At 39.3% G+C, this 18,609-nt stretch overlaps 1 protein-coding gene across 16 annotated transcripts in view; it reads right to left on the reverse strand.

Annotated features, from left to right (window-relative positions):
• The window catches only part of CEP112 (centrosomal protein 112), a 556,597-nt gene extending 540,004 nt beyond the window's left edge, over positions 1–16,593 (reverse strand). For 11 of the 16 annotated variants that reach the window (XR_007065281.1, XR_007065280.1, XR_007065282.1 and 8 more), the window contains exons 1-3: positions 16,457–16,593; positions 7,654–7,767; positions 1,290–1,480 (exon numbers count right to left, since the gene is read on the reverse strand). Coding sequence is in view for 13 of the 16 variants with exons in the window: in NM_001353128.2 (NP_001340057.1) it covers positions 1,290–1,480; positions 7,654–7,759 (297 nt within the window). In the remaining 3 variants the exon portion in view is untranslated. Of the gene's footprint in view, positions 1–1,289; positions 1,481–7,653; positions 7,768–16,118; positions 16,353–16,456 lie in introns of those variants that run through there. The other 5 variants (NM_001302891.3, XM_047435530.1, NM_001353127.2 and 2 more) reach the window with 1 other exon arrangement.
• Between the last annotated feature and the right edge of the window lie 2,016 nt (positions 16,594–18,609).

Below are 18,609 nucleotides of genomic sequence, written 5' to 3' on the forward strand. Positions count from 1 at the left end.
GCCATCCTATCTCTTTCTGTAATCACTAACTACTTTACATACACAAAAAAAGAAATCAGTGGGATGAGAAACACAAACAGTGCAACCCAGGAATTAAAATTAGGAATCCCTTGATAAGGTGGGAACAGCAGAGTGAAAAACCTGGGATTTAGTTCTGGCCACACTGCTAACTAGCTGGGAAACCCAAGAGAGTTCTCTAAACTTTCACATTATTATTATTTGTTAAATAAAGCCCTTCCCTTTGATTCTATGAAATTAAGTGTGAATGGGAAAACATGATACAATGTACTCATATCTTCACATCTAGATGTGCTTCATAAAATGTTCTACCTTTACACGTTTCTAAAGAAAACTCTGCATTGACTGCACACCTCTGCAACAATTCTCCCAATCCTACAGACAGAATCCTCAAGGCACTGTTCTTTAGGGAGGATGACACAAGACCCTCCACTCCATATGGGACATGCACAGAAATTTCTTTTTAAATGACATAGTCATTAAAACTTTTGGCATTGTGCCATGGAAAACAGGAATTATTCTCTAATGTTCAGCGTGCCACTTGACTAAATTGTGCTTTAAGTAAACTAATAAAAGTTTTAAAATACATGACACAAGAATTCTGCAGTTCATTAAAAAAATACATATATATCCTAACAGCAACTATCAAAGCTACCAATACCTAGTACTCCAGATTTCTTAAGTACAGGCACTCAAATACCAAACAAACCAAGGTATATTTTATGGTTACAAGGACCAGGGCAGTGACAATTTATCCACCAAGCATAATAATAACTGCCTTTGCAATAAAGCTGATTTTGACAATGAAATTAATTTAAGTACAGAAAATGACTTTCAAACTCCATTACTGTCATTTTATTAGAGTAAAAAGGAACTTTTACAAATCATGCACTCCAACCTCTCATAAACGTTTAAATAATATATATGAAAGAGTTTAAAAACTAGAATTTACTGAATTACGTAAAAATTACCATTACAATCCAGTGAAAATTAGCAAAAAGTAAAGCTCAATATAAAAAATTTCGTTTTCAGTTTTTTAGAAATACTGTTGAATACTGAGGCATAACTAAATCAATAAGGATACTCCCCTTATAAGCAATACATGTATTTTATTAAAGGTGGAAAAAAATTGAATCAGGAAGAAAAAAAACAATTTTAATATATTATCTAGCACATACAACCTAATAGTATTACCATTCCCCAAAGGGATGATAACTTGACGCTTTTTTTTAAATGAAACTAATATATACCTTTTGTTCATTGATACCTACCATGTATGAAGGTAGAATTTTTAGTGTCCCGGGTTCAGGTCGGTGTGTAAAAGGGCCTTCAAGCGCACCTCGTTTAAGCATATGCAATAACAATTTTGCATACAGGTTCCGATTCTTCCTCCCCATTATTCCTGCACCTGTTCCTGAAGGTTCGCACAGCTTTCTAATCCAAAGAGCACACCTCTGCCGTTCTATAAATACAGAAGAACTATTAGAAATTTTATTTTTTATAAAATGAAACATTCAATTACAAAGACCTATAATAGCACCTGCTTTAGTCTAAAAGAAGGACCAACAAACCTTTTCTGTTAAAGGCCAGAGAGTATATACTTTAGGCTTCACAGGCCATATGATCTCTGGCATAACTACTCTGCCACTGTAGCATGAAAGCACTCAGAGACCATAAGTAAACAAATGGCATGACTATGTTCCAATAAAACCTGGCAAAAAAAGACTGTGGGCAGGAGTTGGCCCATGGGCCATTGTCTGCTAACTCCTGGTCTACAATTTCACTTTATTAGGTAATTGGTAAATGAGAAAGACAAATGCAAAGAAATATTTTCTCAAAAATAAAATCTCTAGATTATCATTAAATAACTTTAATTTTTAATTATTGTGAGTACACAGTAGATATATATATTTAGGCAGTACATGAGATATTTTGATACAGGCATGTAATGTATAATAGTCGCATCAGGATAAATCGGGTATCTATCCATCACTTCAAGCATGTATCCTCTGTGTTACAAACAATCCAATTATACTCTTAGTTATTTTTAAATATGCCATTAAATTATTAGTGACTGTAGTCACTCTGTTGTGCTGTCAAATACTAGGTCGCATTCACTCTATGTTTTTGTACCCATTAACCATCCCTACTTCCTCCCCACCCATCCTTCCCACCCTCTGGAAACCATCCTTCTATCTCCATGAGTTCAGTTGTCTTAATTTTTAGCTCCCACAAATTAGTAAGAATATATGAAGATTGTCTTTCTGTGCCCAGCTTATTTCACTTAACATAATGTCCCCCAGTTCCAGCCATGTTGTTGCAAATGACAGGGTCTCATTATCTTTTATGGCTGAATAGTACTCCATTGTGTACATATATCACATTTTCTTTATCCATTTGTCTGTTGATGGACACTTAGGTTGCTTCCAAATCTTGGCTATTGTGAACAGTGCTGCCACAAACATGGGAGTGCAGATATCTCTTGGATACACTGATTTCCTTTCTTTGGGGTATATAACTAGCAGTGGGATTGCTGGATCACATGGTAGCTCTATTTTCTAGTTTTTCTGAGGAACCTCAAACTCTTCTCCGTAGTCACTCCACTAATTTGCATTAACACCAAAAGTGTAGGAGAGTTACCTTTTCTCCACATCCTTGCCAGTGTTTGTTATTGCCTGTCTTTGGATAAAAGCCATTTTAACTGGGGTGAAATAATATCTCACTGCAGTTTTTATCTGCGTTGCTCTGATGATCAGTGATGTTGAACATCTTGTCACATGCCTGTTTGCCATTTGTATGTCTTCTATTGAGAAATGTCTATTTAGATCTTTTGCCCATTTTTAAATCAGATTATTTGATTTTTTTGTATAGAGTTGTTTGAGCTCCTTATATATTCTGGTTATTCCCTTGTCAGATGAATAGTTTGAAAAGATTTTCTCTCATTCTCTGGATTGTCTCTTCACTTTGTTGATCGTTTCCTTTGCAGAAGCTTTTTAACATGATGAGATCCCATTTGTCCATTGTCGCTTTGGTTGCCTGTGCTTTTGGAGTATTACTCAAGAAATCTCTGCCCAGACCACTACCCTGGAGATTTTCCCCAATGTTTTCTTTTAGCAGTTTCCTTGTTTGAGGTCTTAGATTTCAGTCTTTAATCCATTTTTATTTTTGTATATGGTGGGAGACAAGGGTCTAGTTTCATTCTTCTGTATACGGATATTGAAAACTTGATATCCGTATACAGAAGAATGCCTTTAAAAATGTTTGCATTTTTGCTGTGAAAATTACGTAATCACAGAACAAACTAATGAAATATCAGGATTACTTTGTACAAGAAGATACAAAAGTGAAACTGATAAACTTAAGTAAATGGCACCATTTATTGAAGAGACTGTCATTTCCCCAGTGTAAGTCCTTCACACCTTTGTCAAAAATGAAATTCCTGTAAATGTACGGATTTGTATCTGAGTTTTTAATTCTGCTCCATAGGTCCATGTGATTGTTTTTACGCCAGTACCATGATGGTTTGGTTACAATTGCTCTGTAGTATAATTTGAAGTCAGGTAATGTAATTCCTCCAGTTTTATTATTTTTGCTCAGGATAACTTTGGCTATTCTGGGTCTTTTGTGGTTCCACATAAATTTTAAGGTTGTTTTTTTCTATTTCTGTGAAGAATGTCATTGGTATTTTGATAGGGATTGCACTGAATCTGCAGATTGGTTTGGGTAGTATGGACATTTTAACAATATTGATTATTCCAATCCATGAACATAGGGTATCTTTCTGTTTTTTTGTGTCTTCTTCAATTTCTTTCATTAATGTTTTATAGTTTTCATTATAGAGATCTTTCACTTCTTTGGTTAATTCCTAGGTATTTTATTTTATTTGTAGCAATTGGAAATGAGATTACTTTCTTGATTTCTTTTTCAGATTGTTTGCTGTTGGCATATAGACATGTTACTGATTTTTGTATGTTGATTTTGTACCCTGCATCTTTACTGAATTTGTTTATCTGTTTTAATAGGTTTTTGGGGGAGTCTTTAGGTATTTCCAATATAAGATCATAGCATCTTTAAACAAGCATAATTTGACTTCTTCCTTTCCAATTTCGATGCCCTTTATTTCTTTCTCTTGCCTGACTGCTCTAGCTAGGACTTCCAATACTATGCTGAATAACAGCGGTGAAAGTGGTCAACCTTGTTGTATTCCAGATCTTAAAGGAAAGGCTTTCAGTTTTTCCCCATCCAGTACAATACTAGCTATGGGTCTGTCATATATGAATTTTATTATGTTGAGGACTGTTACTTTGATACCCAGTTTTTTTTAGGGTTTTTATCATAAAGGGATGTTGAATTTTATCAAATGCTTTTCCAGCATTAATTGAAATGATCATACAGTTTTTGTCCACCATTGTGTTATGATTTATCACATGGATTGATTTGCATCTGTTGAACCATCCTTGCATCCCTGGGATAAATCCTAGTTGGTCATGATGAATGATCTTTTTAATATATTGTTGAATTCTGCTTGCAAGTATTTTGCTGAGGATTTTTGCATTAATGTTCATCAGGGATACTGGCCTGTAGTTTTCTTTCTTTGATGTATCTTTGTCTGGTTTTGGTATCAGGGTAATACTGGCCTCGCAGAATGACTTTGAAAATATTCCTCCCTCCTCTATTTTTTTGAATAGTTTGAGTAAGATTGGTATTAGTTATTATTTAAATGTTTAGTAAAATTCATCAGTGAAGCCATCAGGTCCAGGGCTTTCCTTTGCTGGGAGACTTTTTATAAATAAAATTCTGTGATAAAATTTTGTTATAATTTTGCATCTCTAAAATAATTTTAGATATATTGAAAAATCTTTCTATAATTTTAATTATGTAAACCTTGAAAGAGATAAAATGCAATCTCTGATTTATCTAAGCATTTTCAACTTACTCTAAAATTAAATCTTGAATGTTTTATTTATGAAATCCAATAATACCCAGGGATTTGTAGCTGATTGATTGAGGGTTTTAACATCTTTAAAAATAATTGAGCACTACTGACATGTCATTTTGTGAAATAATTATTCTTTTCAAAATCTACCTAAAAATCACAGCACAGTTTAATCTACATATAATGGTCTATATTATCTTGCCATGACACAGGATTGTTTTAGGTCTCAGGAAAACTATTCTGGTATTAATTTTTTATCAGTCTAAGTCAATTTGAGGATTATATATCTAATGCAAATCATAAATCTGCTCTAATCTTTTAGTTTACAAAGGTCATATTCATTTATTGTTTTACCTACAAAAATACACTAAGACCGGATTTACTATGGTGCAAACATCATTTCAGGTTGGAAACTTATGCCTTTAAAATTTTTTGTATTTTTTGATATGAAAATTATATAATCATAAAATAAACTTCATGAAATATTGGGAACACTTTGAACAAGAAGAAAATACAAAAGTGAAACTGATAAACTTAAGTAAATAGTTTTTCAATCTACATACTTTCCACATCCCATAGCAAACTGAAATCTATATAATATTCTAATGTCCAGAATTTAGTACAATTTGGTTAATGAAAGCATTCCTCTATGTAAAATAATGGGAAAACCCATTATCACAAGTTGAATTTAGCAATAAGATGTAATTTATTATGAATTTCTAGTTCTTGTTTAAGATGTGAGTTTCAGATTGCTTATTATAAACTAATTAAATAAAAGAATGCCATAGATGTACCAATACTGACAATGTGTCAAGGAATCAAAGATTATAATTAATGAATTCTATGTACCTAACTTTTTTTTTTCTTTTGAGATGGAGTCTCGCTCTGTCGCCCAGGCTGGAGTGCAGTGGCGTGATCTTGGCTCACTGCAAGCTCTGCCTCCCGAGTTCACGCCATTCTCCTGCCTCAGCCTCCCAAGTAGCTGGGACTGCAGGTGCCCACCAACACGCCCATCTAATTTTGTGTGTGTGTGTGTATTTTTAGTAGAGTCGGGCTTTCACCATGTTAGCCAGGATGGTCTTGATCTCCTGACTTCATGATCCACCCGCCTCAGCCTCCCAAAGTACTCGGATTACAGGCATGAGCCACCGCGCTTGGCCCCTAAAATCTTTTTTTAAAGAAGATAAAATATGGGGATGGTTTGATTTGAAATACATTTACAATGAGAAATTTTAATACAAATGTTTCCTAATCAGCAAATCTAAGACAAAAAGAAAAAATGTAGTGAATATCAGAAGAGGATGCAATATAAAAATATCATTAGATATCATTCAAATAATCATGAACAAGTCATAGGACATGAAATAGTCATTTGAAAAATAGCAGAGGAAGAAAGAAGAGGTTAAAGCCTGACAAGGTCAAGAGCAGAAGGCAGAGGAGGAGGTCTTCAAGGGAAGACCATGGCAACTTACCCAGGACTAGGAAAGGTTGAAGGCCCTAGAACAATAAGTGAACACGGAATGCATAATTTATATATCATACTCCCTTCTCCTAACACAGCTCCCTGGAATAAATGCAACAGTCTCCACTTATCCATGGTTTCGCTTTCCTCTGTTTCAGTTACCTACACTCGAATGCAGTCCAAAAATAGGTGAGCACAATACAATAAGATATTTTGAAAGAAAGAGGGAAATTACTTTCACACAATTTTTGTTACATTATATTGTTATAATTGTTCTATTTTATTATTAGCTATTGCTGTTAATCTCATACTGTACCTAACTGATAAACTAAATTTAATCATCAGTGTGTATGTATAGGAAAAGACAGAGCATATATAGGTTTTAGTACTATCAGCTGTTTCAGGCAGCCTCTGGGGGTCTTGGAATGTATTCCTCAAGATTAAGGGGGATTGCTATATTTAATACTGAGTCAGTTCCTCACTGAATATAGAGTCTACTCAGACACCTTAGGGAAACAGGCAACTTACAGAAAGTAAAAGCCATAGTTTCTTGGTCCCACTCCAAACCTACCACTCAAAAGCTACCAAGTCATATTTACCTTTACAGACAATCTCACACCTACTACGCCTTAGAGAATCTTCCCAGTCCCCAAAATTCTCCCCAATTGTTCTCTAGTGTCTTAAGTTACATGAAAATTCTCTAACTTGAGAAAAAGACTTTCATTCCATAATTAGAAATAACAGGCCAGGAATTGGAGACAAGATAGCAACAAAACTTTATTCACACTGGATTTTGTTCTGCCAACAAATAAGCATAAAAAACCAATAGATTATTTTCTGCTTTGATAGACAGGGCCGGAGAACAGGAGAACACTAGGCTCCTCCTGTCTCTGGCCCTTTCCATAGAAAGAAGAAAAATTTGCAAGAAAAATTTCCATAGAGAAAAGAAAAAGATGCAAGAAAAAAGGTTGTAGCTAACTTTAGAGATCCATGTGCTATAAGTTCATGACATGTGAGACGAGGCATCACAATAAGATCTTTCCACAGTTTGGCAGGACATTATCACTGAATGTCTATCTACCCTTGAACAACTCAGTGTAAACAGTCCTATGTCAATGGCAAAAATTGTTACTAGAGAAATTCAGTTTTTCTTCCATGTTGATAGTTCATTGGTTTGACTAAATAATATAAAGAAAAAAATTAATCTTAAGAATCTAATCTTCAAACATAATCTTACCTGTCCTATGAGGTAATTTTAGAACAAAGGGCTTCATATCAACCACAAAGTGATCAAATTCTGCATCCAGCTTCTCCCATTTTTCTTCTTCACTTCCCACTTCCATAATCCAATCTGTAAAAGATTTTAAATCAAAATATTAAGGATTTGTATGCTGAAAACTACAAAACTCTGATGAGAAAGATAAAAAAAACTCTTAAGTGTTAGATATCAGTTCTCCCCAAATTGACCTGTAGATTTAATGCAACTCCCATCAAAACCCAGCCGTATTATTTGTAGAGATAAGCTTAATTCTAAAATTTACATGAAAAAGTAAAGGAACTAAAGAGCCCAAACAATTTTGAGAAAGTACAAAGTTGGAGAACTCACATTACCAGATTTTAAGATGTACTCCAAAGCCACAGTAGTCAAGACAATTGGTATTGGTGAAAGGATAGACAGATCAGTGGAAAAGATTAGAGAGTCCAGAAACCAGACCAAAACAAACATAAACAACTGATTTTCAACAAAGGTGTGATCCATGAAGAAATGACAGTTATTACAACAAATGATGTCATAACAATTGGATATCCATATACAAAAAAAAAAGAACTTCAACCTAAACTTCATCCTGTATATAAAAATTAACTCAATATGAATCACAGACCTAAGTGTAAAAATGTAAAACTATACAACTCTTACAAGAAAGCATGGGAGGAAATCTTTGCAAACTTGAGTAAGGCTAAGATTTCTTATATACAACATTAAAAGCACTATCCACAAAAGGAAAAACTGACCAGGCATGATAGCTCATGCCTGTAATCCCAGAACTTTGGGAGTCCCAGGCAGGAGGAATGCTTGAGCTCAGGAGTTAAAGACCACCCTGGGCAATTTGGTGAGACCCCATCTCTACAAAACAAAAAAAAAATTAAAAATTAGCCAGGTGTAGTGGCACGTACCTGTAGTCCCAGCTACTTGGGATGCTGAGGTGGGAGAATTGTTTGAAAGTGTGAGAGGTAAAGGCTGCAGTGGGCCATGATCGCACCACTAAACTCTAGCCTCGGTGACAGAGCAAGACCCTATCTCAAAAATAAAAAAGAAAGCTGACATATTGAACTTCACAAAAAAAAACTGTCCTGCAAAGGACGTTGTTAAGGAATTGAGAAGATAAGCCACAGACCAGAACAAAATATTTGCAAATCATACATCTCATACGAGACTTGTATCAAGAATACATAAGGACTCTCAAAATTCAACAATCAGAAAACAAACTACCCCGATAATCAGCAAAAAAAATTAGTCCCTTTACCAAAGAAGAAATACAGATGGCAAGTAAGCACATGACAAGATGCTCAATATCATTACAGAAATGCAAATTAAAACTATACTGAGATACCACTAACATTAAAAATGCAAACAATACCAAGTGCTGGTGAGGATGGACAACAACAGAAACTCTCATGCATTGCTGGTAGAAATACAAAATAGTACAGGCACTCTGGAAAACAGTTTGGCAGTTTCTTACAAAAATAAACATACACTCAGCCTATGACCCAGAAATCCCACTCCCAAGTATTTAGCTAAGTGAAAAGAAAAATCTATATACACAAAAAAATCCAAATGTGATTTTTTTTAAATAACCACCAAACAACTGAAAACAGCCCAAATGTCCCTCAAATGGTGACTAGATAAACTGTGGCATATCCACACAATAACATAGTACTCAGCAACAGAAAGGAATGAACTGCTGATACACACAAAACATGGAAACTTCAAATCCTTATGCTAAGTGAAAGAAGCCCTTCTCAAAAGGCTGCATACTAATTCCATTTGTGTGACATTCTAGAAAAGGCAAACAATATAGGCATAAAGAACAGATCAGCAGCTCATGGGGATAGCAGTGGGGGCAGAGTCTCAACACAAAGGGATGGCACAAAGAAACGATTTGGCATGTTGGAATTTTTCTGTACACTATCTATGTAGGAAGTTATAAGAACCTACAGTGGCAAGAACTATATGCCAAAAAAAGTGCATTTGCTGTATATAAGTTAAAAAAAATTTTTTTTGAGACAGAGTCTTGCTCTGTTCTCCAGGCTATGGAGTGCAATGGCACAATCTTGGCTCACTGCAACCTCCGCCTCCTGGGTTCAAGTGATTCTCCTGCCTCAGACTCCTGAGTAGCTGGGATTACAGGCACACACCACCATGCCCGGCTAACTTTTCTATTTTTAGTAGAGATGGGGTTTCACCATGTTGGTCAGGCTGGTCTCGAACTCCTGACCTCGTGATCCATCCACCTCAGCCTCCCAAAGTGCTGGCATTACAGGCATGAGCCACTGCGCCCCGCCAAATTTAAACTTTTTAATCCTTTTTAAAAACTGTAAAATATTGGTCATCATACTTCCTTCTAATTAACAAGAAAAACACTGAATACAAAGGGGGTGAATCCCAAAAATCAAAAGTGTAGGTTTTGACAAAATTTGTTAAGTTAAAAATACATACACACACTACATGTTCCTTTAAACTGTGAAATGTCCTGATAGGGATGTGCGCTACCTTTACATTATGAATAGTGCCAATTTGTCATTTATTCCATTTACAAATTCTATATTCGGTGAAAAGCTTTGTTCTGCCTCATAAGCTATCTTGCTCCACAAACTGCCCTCTATCTGCTAAACCAGCTTCTAATATTTACCACATTATCAAATGGTTTCCATCATTTCATCATTAACAACCTCTTCATAGAAAGTTCTCTCTACCCTGTCTCTGTAAGTAAATCGTAGCTTTTACTTGCTGACTTTACTTTCCTCAGTCATTAGAGGTAAGCCAAGGTCTCTCATAATCTCTCTCATTCTCTCTCTCTCTCTCTCTCTCCCCACCCGCTCTCTCATGCATCCTCTGTAGTCTTTCACTTTCTCCACTCAACCATGCAATGGAAGGAAAACACTTACCAAGATCCATCCTGCCACTTCCCAACTACTGCTCTTCCTCCCTCAGCCCCAAAATCCCTCATGAGGCTCAACGCTCCAACCATCTGACTACCATGTACTCCCCTTTCTCATCTCTGTCATCTTGCAAAGAAACCCGTCTGAAACTAGCCTCTTGTCCTCTTTTTTCTTTTCGTTTCGTTTATTTCTTTCGTTTTTTGAGACAGAATCTCACTTTGTAACCCAGGCTGGAGTGTAGTGGCACGATCTCGGCTCACTGCAACCTCCACCTCCCGGGTTCAAGGGATTCTCCTGCCTCAGCCTCCCGAGTAGGCACCCGCCACCACGCCCAGATAATTTTTCGTATTTTTAGTAGAGACGGCGTTTCACCGTGTTAGCCAGGCTGGTCTTGATCTCCTGACCTCGTGATCCGCCTGCCTCGGCCTCCCAAAGTGCTGGGATTACAGGCATGAGCCACCATGCCCAGCTGCCTCTTGTCCTCTTAAATGCTCTCTTCTTATTCCACTAGATCTTTCCTTTCTACTTGGCAAGGCTGCAATCCCTTGATGCCCTCCTTCATGCTCTACAGGGTTGCTGGGAAAAAATGGCACTGCCTTATAGTCAGATGGCTTCCAACATTACCTGAACCCTCAGGAGTCTTGCTATTTCCTACTCCACAAAGCAACTTTAAAACTTTTCCCAAATATCCTACAGCCCCTTGAATAACTCCAGCTTCTCCTAACTCTCAATTTAAAAATCATAAATCTTGCTTCAGGGAAAAAATAATAGTCAGGTGGTACCACCCCAAGATGTTATTCCTCCCACCTCTCAACTTACCTCTCAGAGAAAACACTCTTCCACCTCTGCTCCTGTATCAGACGCAGTAACTCTCCCTCTACCTGTCCTCTATCAATTGCCTATTTGCTATGTAAAATTTTCCATCTCCACTCACTCCTTCCCCTCTGATGGCAGCTGAGAAATATCTCAAAATCTGCCTGCTTCTCTATTCTCACTGCCACGATCTCAGATAGAGGCCTGCCCACCACTTAACTTGAACTACTGTGGCAGCCTCATCATCTGTCTCCCTACTGTCAGTTTTCTCTACTTGAGTCCATTTTCCTCACCTGTTCCAGAATGAGTTTCCTAATGACAAAGCTAAGTCTATCACTTCCTGTTTAAAAATCTCCCCTCATTCTAGCATTCCATTCGCCAAATCCACTTACTTTCTCCACTTCATCAACTTCTATCCAGATCTCACCCCCTGTATATTACCTCTTCTATCTCCATCATGGTAGCAAAAATCTTTCAAAGTTCACCAGTGATCCACTAATTGCCAAATCCAAAGGGCTGTCTTCAGTTTGCATCCTATTTGACATCTCCACAGCATCTTCCACTTCTGACAACTCCCTGCTCCTAAGAAACTCTTCTTTGACTTCAGTGGTTCCATTCACTGCTGGCTCCCCTACTGCCTCAGATCATTCCTTCTCGGTCTCTCAATGGCTCTGGCTTCTCCAGTCAATATGGACTCTCCAGTGCTCTTTCCTTAGTCTCCTTTTGATCTGACTTTTCACACTCGCATAGTGATTGTATTCAGTACCATCGCTTCAAGTATTCGTTTCATGCCATTCACCCTTAAATTTTATTTCAAACTCCAGCCTCTCTTTGCAACTCCAGACTCATTTACAATAGCTCCTGGACCTATTCACTAATGTCCTGTTTATTATCTAGATTTATATGTCCAAGAAAACAATCCTTGATGTTTTTCTCCATAAATCTATGATGTACTCTGCTTGATGACATCATCATCTACTTCATCTCCCAAGCTAGAAGTTTCAATGTTCCCATCCTCTGAACCCCCATAAACCAATACATCAATAAATGCTGAGAAATATCTCAAAATCTGCCTGCTTCCCTATTCTCACTGCCACGATCTCAGATAGAGGCCTGCCTACCACTTATTTGAACTACTGCGGCAGCCTCATCATCTGTCTCCCTACTGTCAGTTTTCTCTACTTGAGTCCATTTTCCTCACCTGCTCCAGAATGAGTTTCCTAATGACAAAGCTAAGCCTATAGCTTCCTGTTTAAAAATCTCTCGTGACTGCCTAAAACAGAATACTATCCAAACCCAAAGTTAGGCATACAAGTACCTTTGCATTTAGGCCTGTCTCTCACACCACACACACAAACACACACACACACACACACACACACACACACACACACACTTTGCCTAACTACACCAACCCACAAATGCCCACTTCCCTCTTGCCACAATGAACTCCTCACCATGGTCAAACCCCCCCCCACCCCCGAGCCCTTATCTAATCCCACCCCCTTTTCATAGGCTATTCCCTCCACCTGGAGTCAGGTAAATGCAGCTCAAATGTCACCTGAGTGAAGCTGGCCCCCCCTTGCCCTAGACTGGCTGTTGCTCTGTTCTCAGTGTAAACTGTTCACATCTGTGTACAGCATTTATCATGCTGTTTTTTTTTTTTTTTACACATCTGTGTATTATTATGCATACATCTTCCATTATCTGTGAGAAGCTCCTAGAAGGCAGGGACCATGATTTACACATCTTAGTAAGTACCTAGCTTATTACCTGGTACTCATCATTTTTTGTTTGGTTGGTTTTGTTTTACATGTATACAATATATTCCATCAGTTATGCACGTGGTAACAGAAGGCTATGATACCAGTGCTGGATGTGAGATCATAATGTTGAAAAGCAACAATTCAAATAGATGAACAAACCAATGGAAAATCATAAACCCAGAGTTTTAAAGCACAGCTCTGGCCTAGATGTACTCCGGGGCTTAAAGACTATATACTGCCCACGTACTCAAACATTTGCCTGAGAACATCTATAGCTAAAGCAAAATAAAAAAGATTCCTCCTAATCACTAATTCTCAATAAATCCTTTGACATGGGCAGGAAATGTTAGTGTTTAACATTAGAGGAAACTAAAATTCAACCATTAAATGACTAACTCAAAATCATGAAATCAAGCACAAAGCTCAGATTAAAATTCTGAAACCTCTAGCCCTCAGATTTATTATATTGGCCATTTACATATAAGTGAGCAATATCTCCAACTAATTAAAAAGTATTTTGAAGGCCAGGCGCGTTGGCTCACACCTGTAATCCCAGCACGTTGGGAAGCTGAGGCAGGCGGATAACTTGAGGTCAGGAGTTCAAGACCAGCCTGGCCAACATGGTGAAACCCCGTCTCTACTAAAAATACCAAAAAAATTAGCTGGGCAAAGTGGCACACACCTGTATTCCCAGCTACTAGGGAGGCTGAAGCAGGAGAATCGCTTGAACCCGGGAGGCGGAGTTTGCAGTGAGCTGAGATGGTGCCACTGCACTCAACCTGTGTGACACAGCAAAACTCTGTCTCAAAAAAAAAAAAAAAAGTATTTTGAAAAGTAGAAAGGCAATTGGAATTGCTATATTGACATGCAATATTGAAGTATACATTTAAAAAAAAAACTAAAGAATCAAAGTAACATTTGGTAAAAACTAAAAATCTGCTTCTTCTTATCCCTTAATTTTTCTCCAAAAAAATAAAGAAATGGAAAAAGAAACAAAAAAACTAACATTTCAAACCTTCAAGGAATTATTGCTATACAAATTACATCTTATTGGCCAGGTGTGGTGGCTCACATCTGTAATCCAAACACTTCGGGAGGCCAAGGTGAGTGGATCATTTGATCCCAGGAGTTCAAGACCAGCCTGGGCAACATAGTGAGACCCTGTCTCTACAAAAAAATACAAAAATTAGCCAAGCATGGTAGCATGCATCTGTAGTCCCAGCTACTCGGGAGACTGAGGTGGGAGGATCACTTGAGCCCAAGAGGTCAAGGCTGCAATGAGCCAAGATCACACCACTGCACTCCAGCCTGAGCAATAAAGTGAGACCCTGTCTCAAAAAACCTGAAAATGGAACGGGTGCAGTGGCTCACACCTGTAATCCCAGCACTTTGGGAGGCCGAGGCGGGAGGGTCACCTGAGGTCAGGAGTTCGAGACAAGCCTGGCCAATTAAAAACACAAAAATTAGCCGGGCATGGTGGCAGGCACCTGTAATCCCAGCTACTCAGGAAGCTGAGGCAGGAGAATCGCTTGAACCTGGGAGGCAGAGGTTGCAGTGAGCTGAAATCATGCCACTGCACTCCAGCCTGGGTGACAAGAGCAAAGCTCCGTCTCAAAAAAAAAAAAATTGAAAATGAAAAATAAATAATTTAAAAACAAATTACATCATATTCACAAATTGTATCTAAGTTCCAACTTATCAAAAGTTTCATACCATTTATCAGAATTGAAAATTTAAATTACTGGAATTGAAAAATAAGTAAAGCAACATCTTTGGCTTAGGCTTAGAGTAATTATAGTGTGCCTATCAGTTATATAAATTATTTCAAAGGTAACCCAGGTGACGGACGTTGCAGTGAGCGTGAGCTGAGTTTGCACCACTGCACTCCAGCCTGGGCCACAGAGCAAGACTGTCTCAAAAAAATAAATAATTCCAAAGGTAAAAAAGAAGTAAATTGGGTGACTCTTGCTTATAGCTACAATCTATATTTGGATCATGTCTTTTATTAAACTCACCCATGCTGCCTTTTTTTAAACTTCTTTTTGGACAGCTACAAAATGGGCTTACCTACCCTACAGTCAGCAAACATAACCAAACCACAAGTATTAAAAGGTCTGGGAAAAAAAGGAGTCACAACTGCCAAGCAAAGAATACACTTCATTCATATCACACTCCTTGCCAAACAAAACAAACGTTCTTGGAAGTTGTGTAAAACCCATTTTGTTCAATCAAATCATATTTTAAATATATTGTGGGTCATTAAAGAAAACTGGAAACGTCGACAAATTAAAAAGGATTAGAGGTGCACGTTTTCTCTGGCTTACACGTGTGGATGTTTTGACAAGAGCCTTCCCTGACTCTACCCGTAGCTCAGTGTGTGCTTTAGAAACAAATCTCAGTTTATTCTCTGGCCCGGCCCTACCATTTCCGCACCATTTCCATGGTCATTTCACAGAGGAAGAAGGAAGCTGAGGCTTAAGTGAGGTGAAGTCACTGACCTAGGTTCTTAGTGGACAGTGACAGCTGGGCCTGAACACTGCACAAATTATTAATACCATGCATTCCACTAAGCTGCAGCCTGACCACTGTGGAGAGGCTCATGGAATTTAATGTGCCTTTTCTATCTTATTTTGACTCATCTTAAAATATTAAAAACAAATAAAAGTAGCCGTGCAATGATCAGAAAAGCTGTTCACATTTACTTATGTCGTTCTCTTGAACACTTAAAAATAATTAACTCAGAAACACAGGGTAGCATCCTACATGCGGCGGTGCTGGGCTTGGGCCTCTCCAAGCGGCCTATGACTTTCTGCAAACCAACCAGCGCCCTGGTTCTGTCCCCGCAAATCCAGCTGATTGTTCTGAGACTCTTTTCTGGGACGGAATTGAAAACTCCAGCGGTGCCGTTCCTGGCAGTCCCTTCCTCGGCCCGCCGAGGCCCAGGCCCAGGCCGCGCTCCTACCTTGTCCAGGACACAGATTTCCTCTCCCAGTCGCAAACCCTTGGGTCAGACTCTTGGACCACGTCAGACCGATCAAACCGGCTGATCAAACTTTACTTAGAACTTTCCCAAGTCGTCCCGGCCTGGATCGCGCTCTGCCTGCCGGGGACACCACAGCGGGCAGCGCCGGGACCCCAGGGGCGCGCGCCCCCCAGGCCCGGAGAACGGGCCCAGGGCCTGAGGGCGACGCCCCTTCCCGAACGGGCCCGCAAGGGCGGGGCGGCAGCCACCGGCGCAAAATTCCACTCAAGAACCTGGTGGGAGGGGCGGGGGAAGGAAATTCAGAAAAAAACGAGAACCTGGCACCACCACACGCAAGCTTTCCGCTCGGCCGCTGCCGCCAACGCCGCCGCCACCGCCGCCCCTGCCAAACGGTTTCAAATCCTTGCGGGCCGCTGGGTCGCCGCCGCCCAGCAGCCCGGGGGCGGGGACTTTCGCGCTCGCATTTCCCCGCCCCCTACTCCACCCCTCTAGCCTGCGGTGCGGTTGCCATGGCGACGTTCCCGGCGGCGGCGACCACCGGCGCCCCAGGCTGGGGGCGGAGACTTCCGCGCGGGCATTTCTCCACCCACAGGTGGCGGCGTGCGCGCGGCCCCGTTGCCATGGCGACGCTCCTGCTGGCCCAGCAACCGCCAGACTCGCACCCCAGCTTGTGGGCCCCTTGGCGGGTCCCCAGTCGAAGCTTCCGGGATAACCCGACCACAGTTTGAATGCTGCTGCCCTCCCGCATCCCGCGCAGAGTCGCTTATGATCACCTTAGGGGCCGTGGCGAAAAAATAAGGGCACAGAAAATGGGGCGGCTGGAGGATGTTCACAAAAGGGGTGATCCGTTATGTGGACAGACATCAGAGTTGAATGGGTCTCAAGTGAAAATTTCCTCACTCTCTGATATATCAAAACCCAAGTCAAATTCTTCAAAAGGTTCTTTTTAAAACCTATCTCACTGGAAGTAAACACCAACAGCTAGCTCTTCCTTGTCTCAAAGACAAATCATGCTAAGGAAAATAAAGGGTACAGAATGCTTTTAAGAATGTTTAGTTTTCAAAAGCATACTTGAACATGTTTATAACTAGGGAATGATATATAATCCAGATAATTAGTACTGAGAATCAAGGATGCAAAATCAAGCATGCAATTGCAGGAATTTAACCAGTCAGTTAATACATTCAAGATAGATAAACTGGCCGGGCGGGGTGGCTCACGTCTGTAATCCCAGTACTTTGGGAGGCCAAGGTGGGCGGATCAGGAGGTCAGGAGATCGAGACCATCCGGGCTAACACGGTGAAACCCTGTCTCTCCTAAAAATACAAAAAATTAGCCAGGCGTGGTGGCACACGGCTGTAATCCCAGTTACTCGGGAGGCTGAGGCAGGAGAATTGCTTGAACCCGGGAAGCAAAGGTTGCAGTGAGCCGAGATTGCGCTACTGCACTCTAGCCTGGGCGACAGAGCGAGACTCAAAAAAAAAAAAAAAGATAAACTACCCTACTCCAGCCTCAGGAGGAGGAGGACATTGGTCAAAGGAAACAAAATTTAAGTTAGATTGGAGGAATAAGTCTAAGCGATCTATTTTACAACGTGGTGACCATAGTAAATGATAATGTATTGTGTTCTTGAAAATTGCTAAAAGAGTACATCTTAAGTGTTCTCATCACAAAATTAATAAGTATGTGAAGCAACGCTTATGTTAATTAGCTTGACTTAGTCATTTCACAATGTTGTGCATAATAAATATATGCAATTTTTAGAATCATAAACTGCATTGCTGAAAGAATATGAAATGAATTTGACAAATGGTGTCTAAATAAACATGAAAAGAAAAATAGAAGATAAATAAATAGAAGATAAATCAAAGAAAAAATGTAACAAGCTCAAGCTCATCTCAGAGGAAATAACTATAGCAGAAAAATATAACTGAAAATGAAAAATGTCTTTAAATATTTCCTCTACTTAGGTGAAAATAAGATGAGTAGATCTCCCTTCCCGCTTTTAAGAACAAGCTGATTGTCATTTTTTTCATTTATATATATCATTTTCATTTATATATTTTTCATTCATATATACACACACATGCAAATAAAAATATTAAGATATGCATAGAGAGTTTTATTATTTATGTTATATGTATATAACATGAAAGGGATACCAGCTTGAGCCTGAGCTGTGTTCACCTTAGAACTCAAGCCTACATGTCATGTTTAGACGACTGGTAGGCAAGTTTCACTTGGAAACTCCTTACCTGAGAACCAAGGAACCTCCTAGAAATTAAGTCATCCTGGCTGAGCATGGTGGCTCATGCCTGTAATCCCAGCACTTCGGGAGGCTGAGGCAGGTGGATCATGAGGTCAGGAGTTCAAGACCAGCCTGGCCAATATGGTGAAACCCCGTCTCTACTAAAAATACAAAAATTAGCAGGTGTGGTGGCAGACGCCTGTGATCCCAGCTACTCAGGAG

The sequence above is a fragment of the Homo sapiens genome, chromosome 17, assembly GCF_000001405.40.
Source record: "Homo sapiens chromosome 17, GRCh38.p14 Primary Assembly".
NCBI classification, from domain to species: Eukaryota; Metazoa; Chordata; class Mammalia; order Primates; family Hominidae; genus Homo; species Homo sapiens.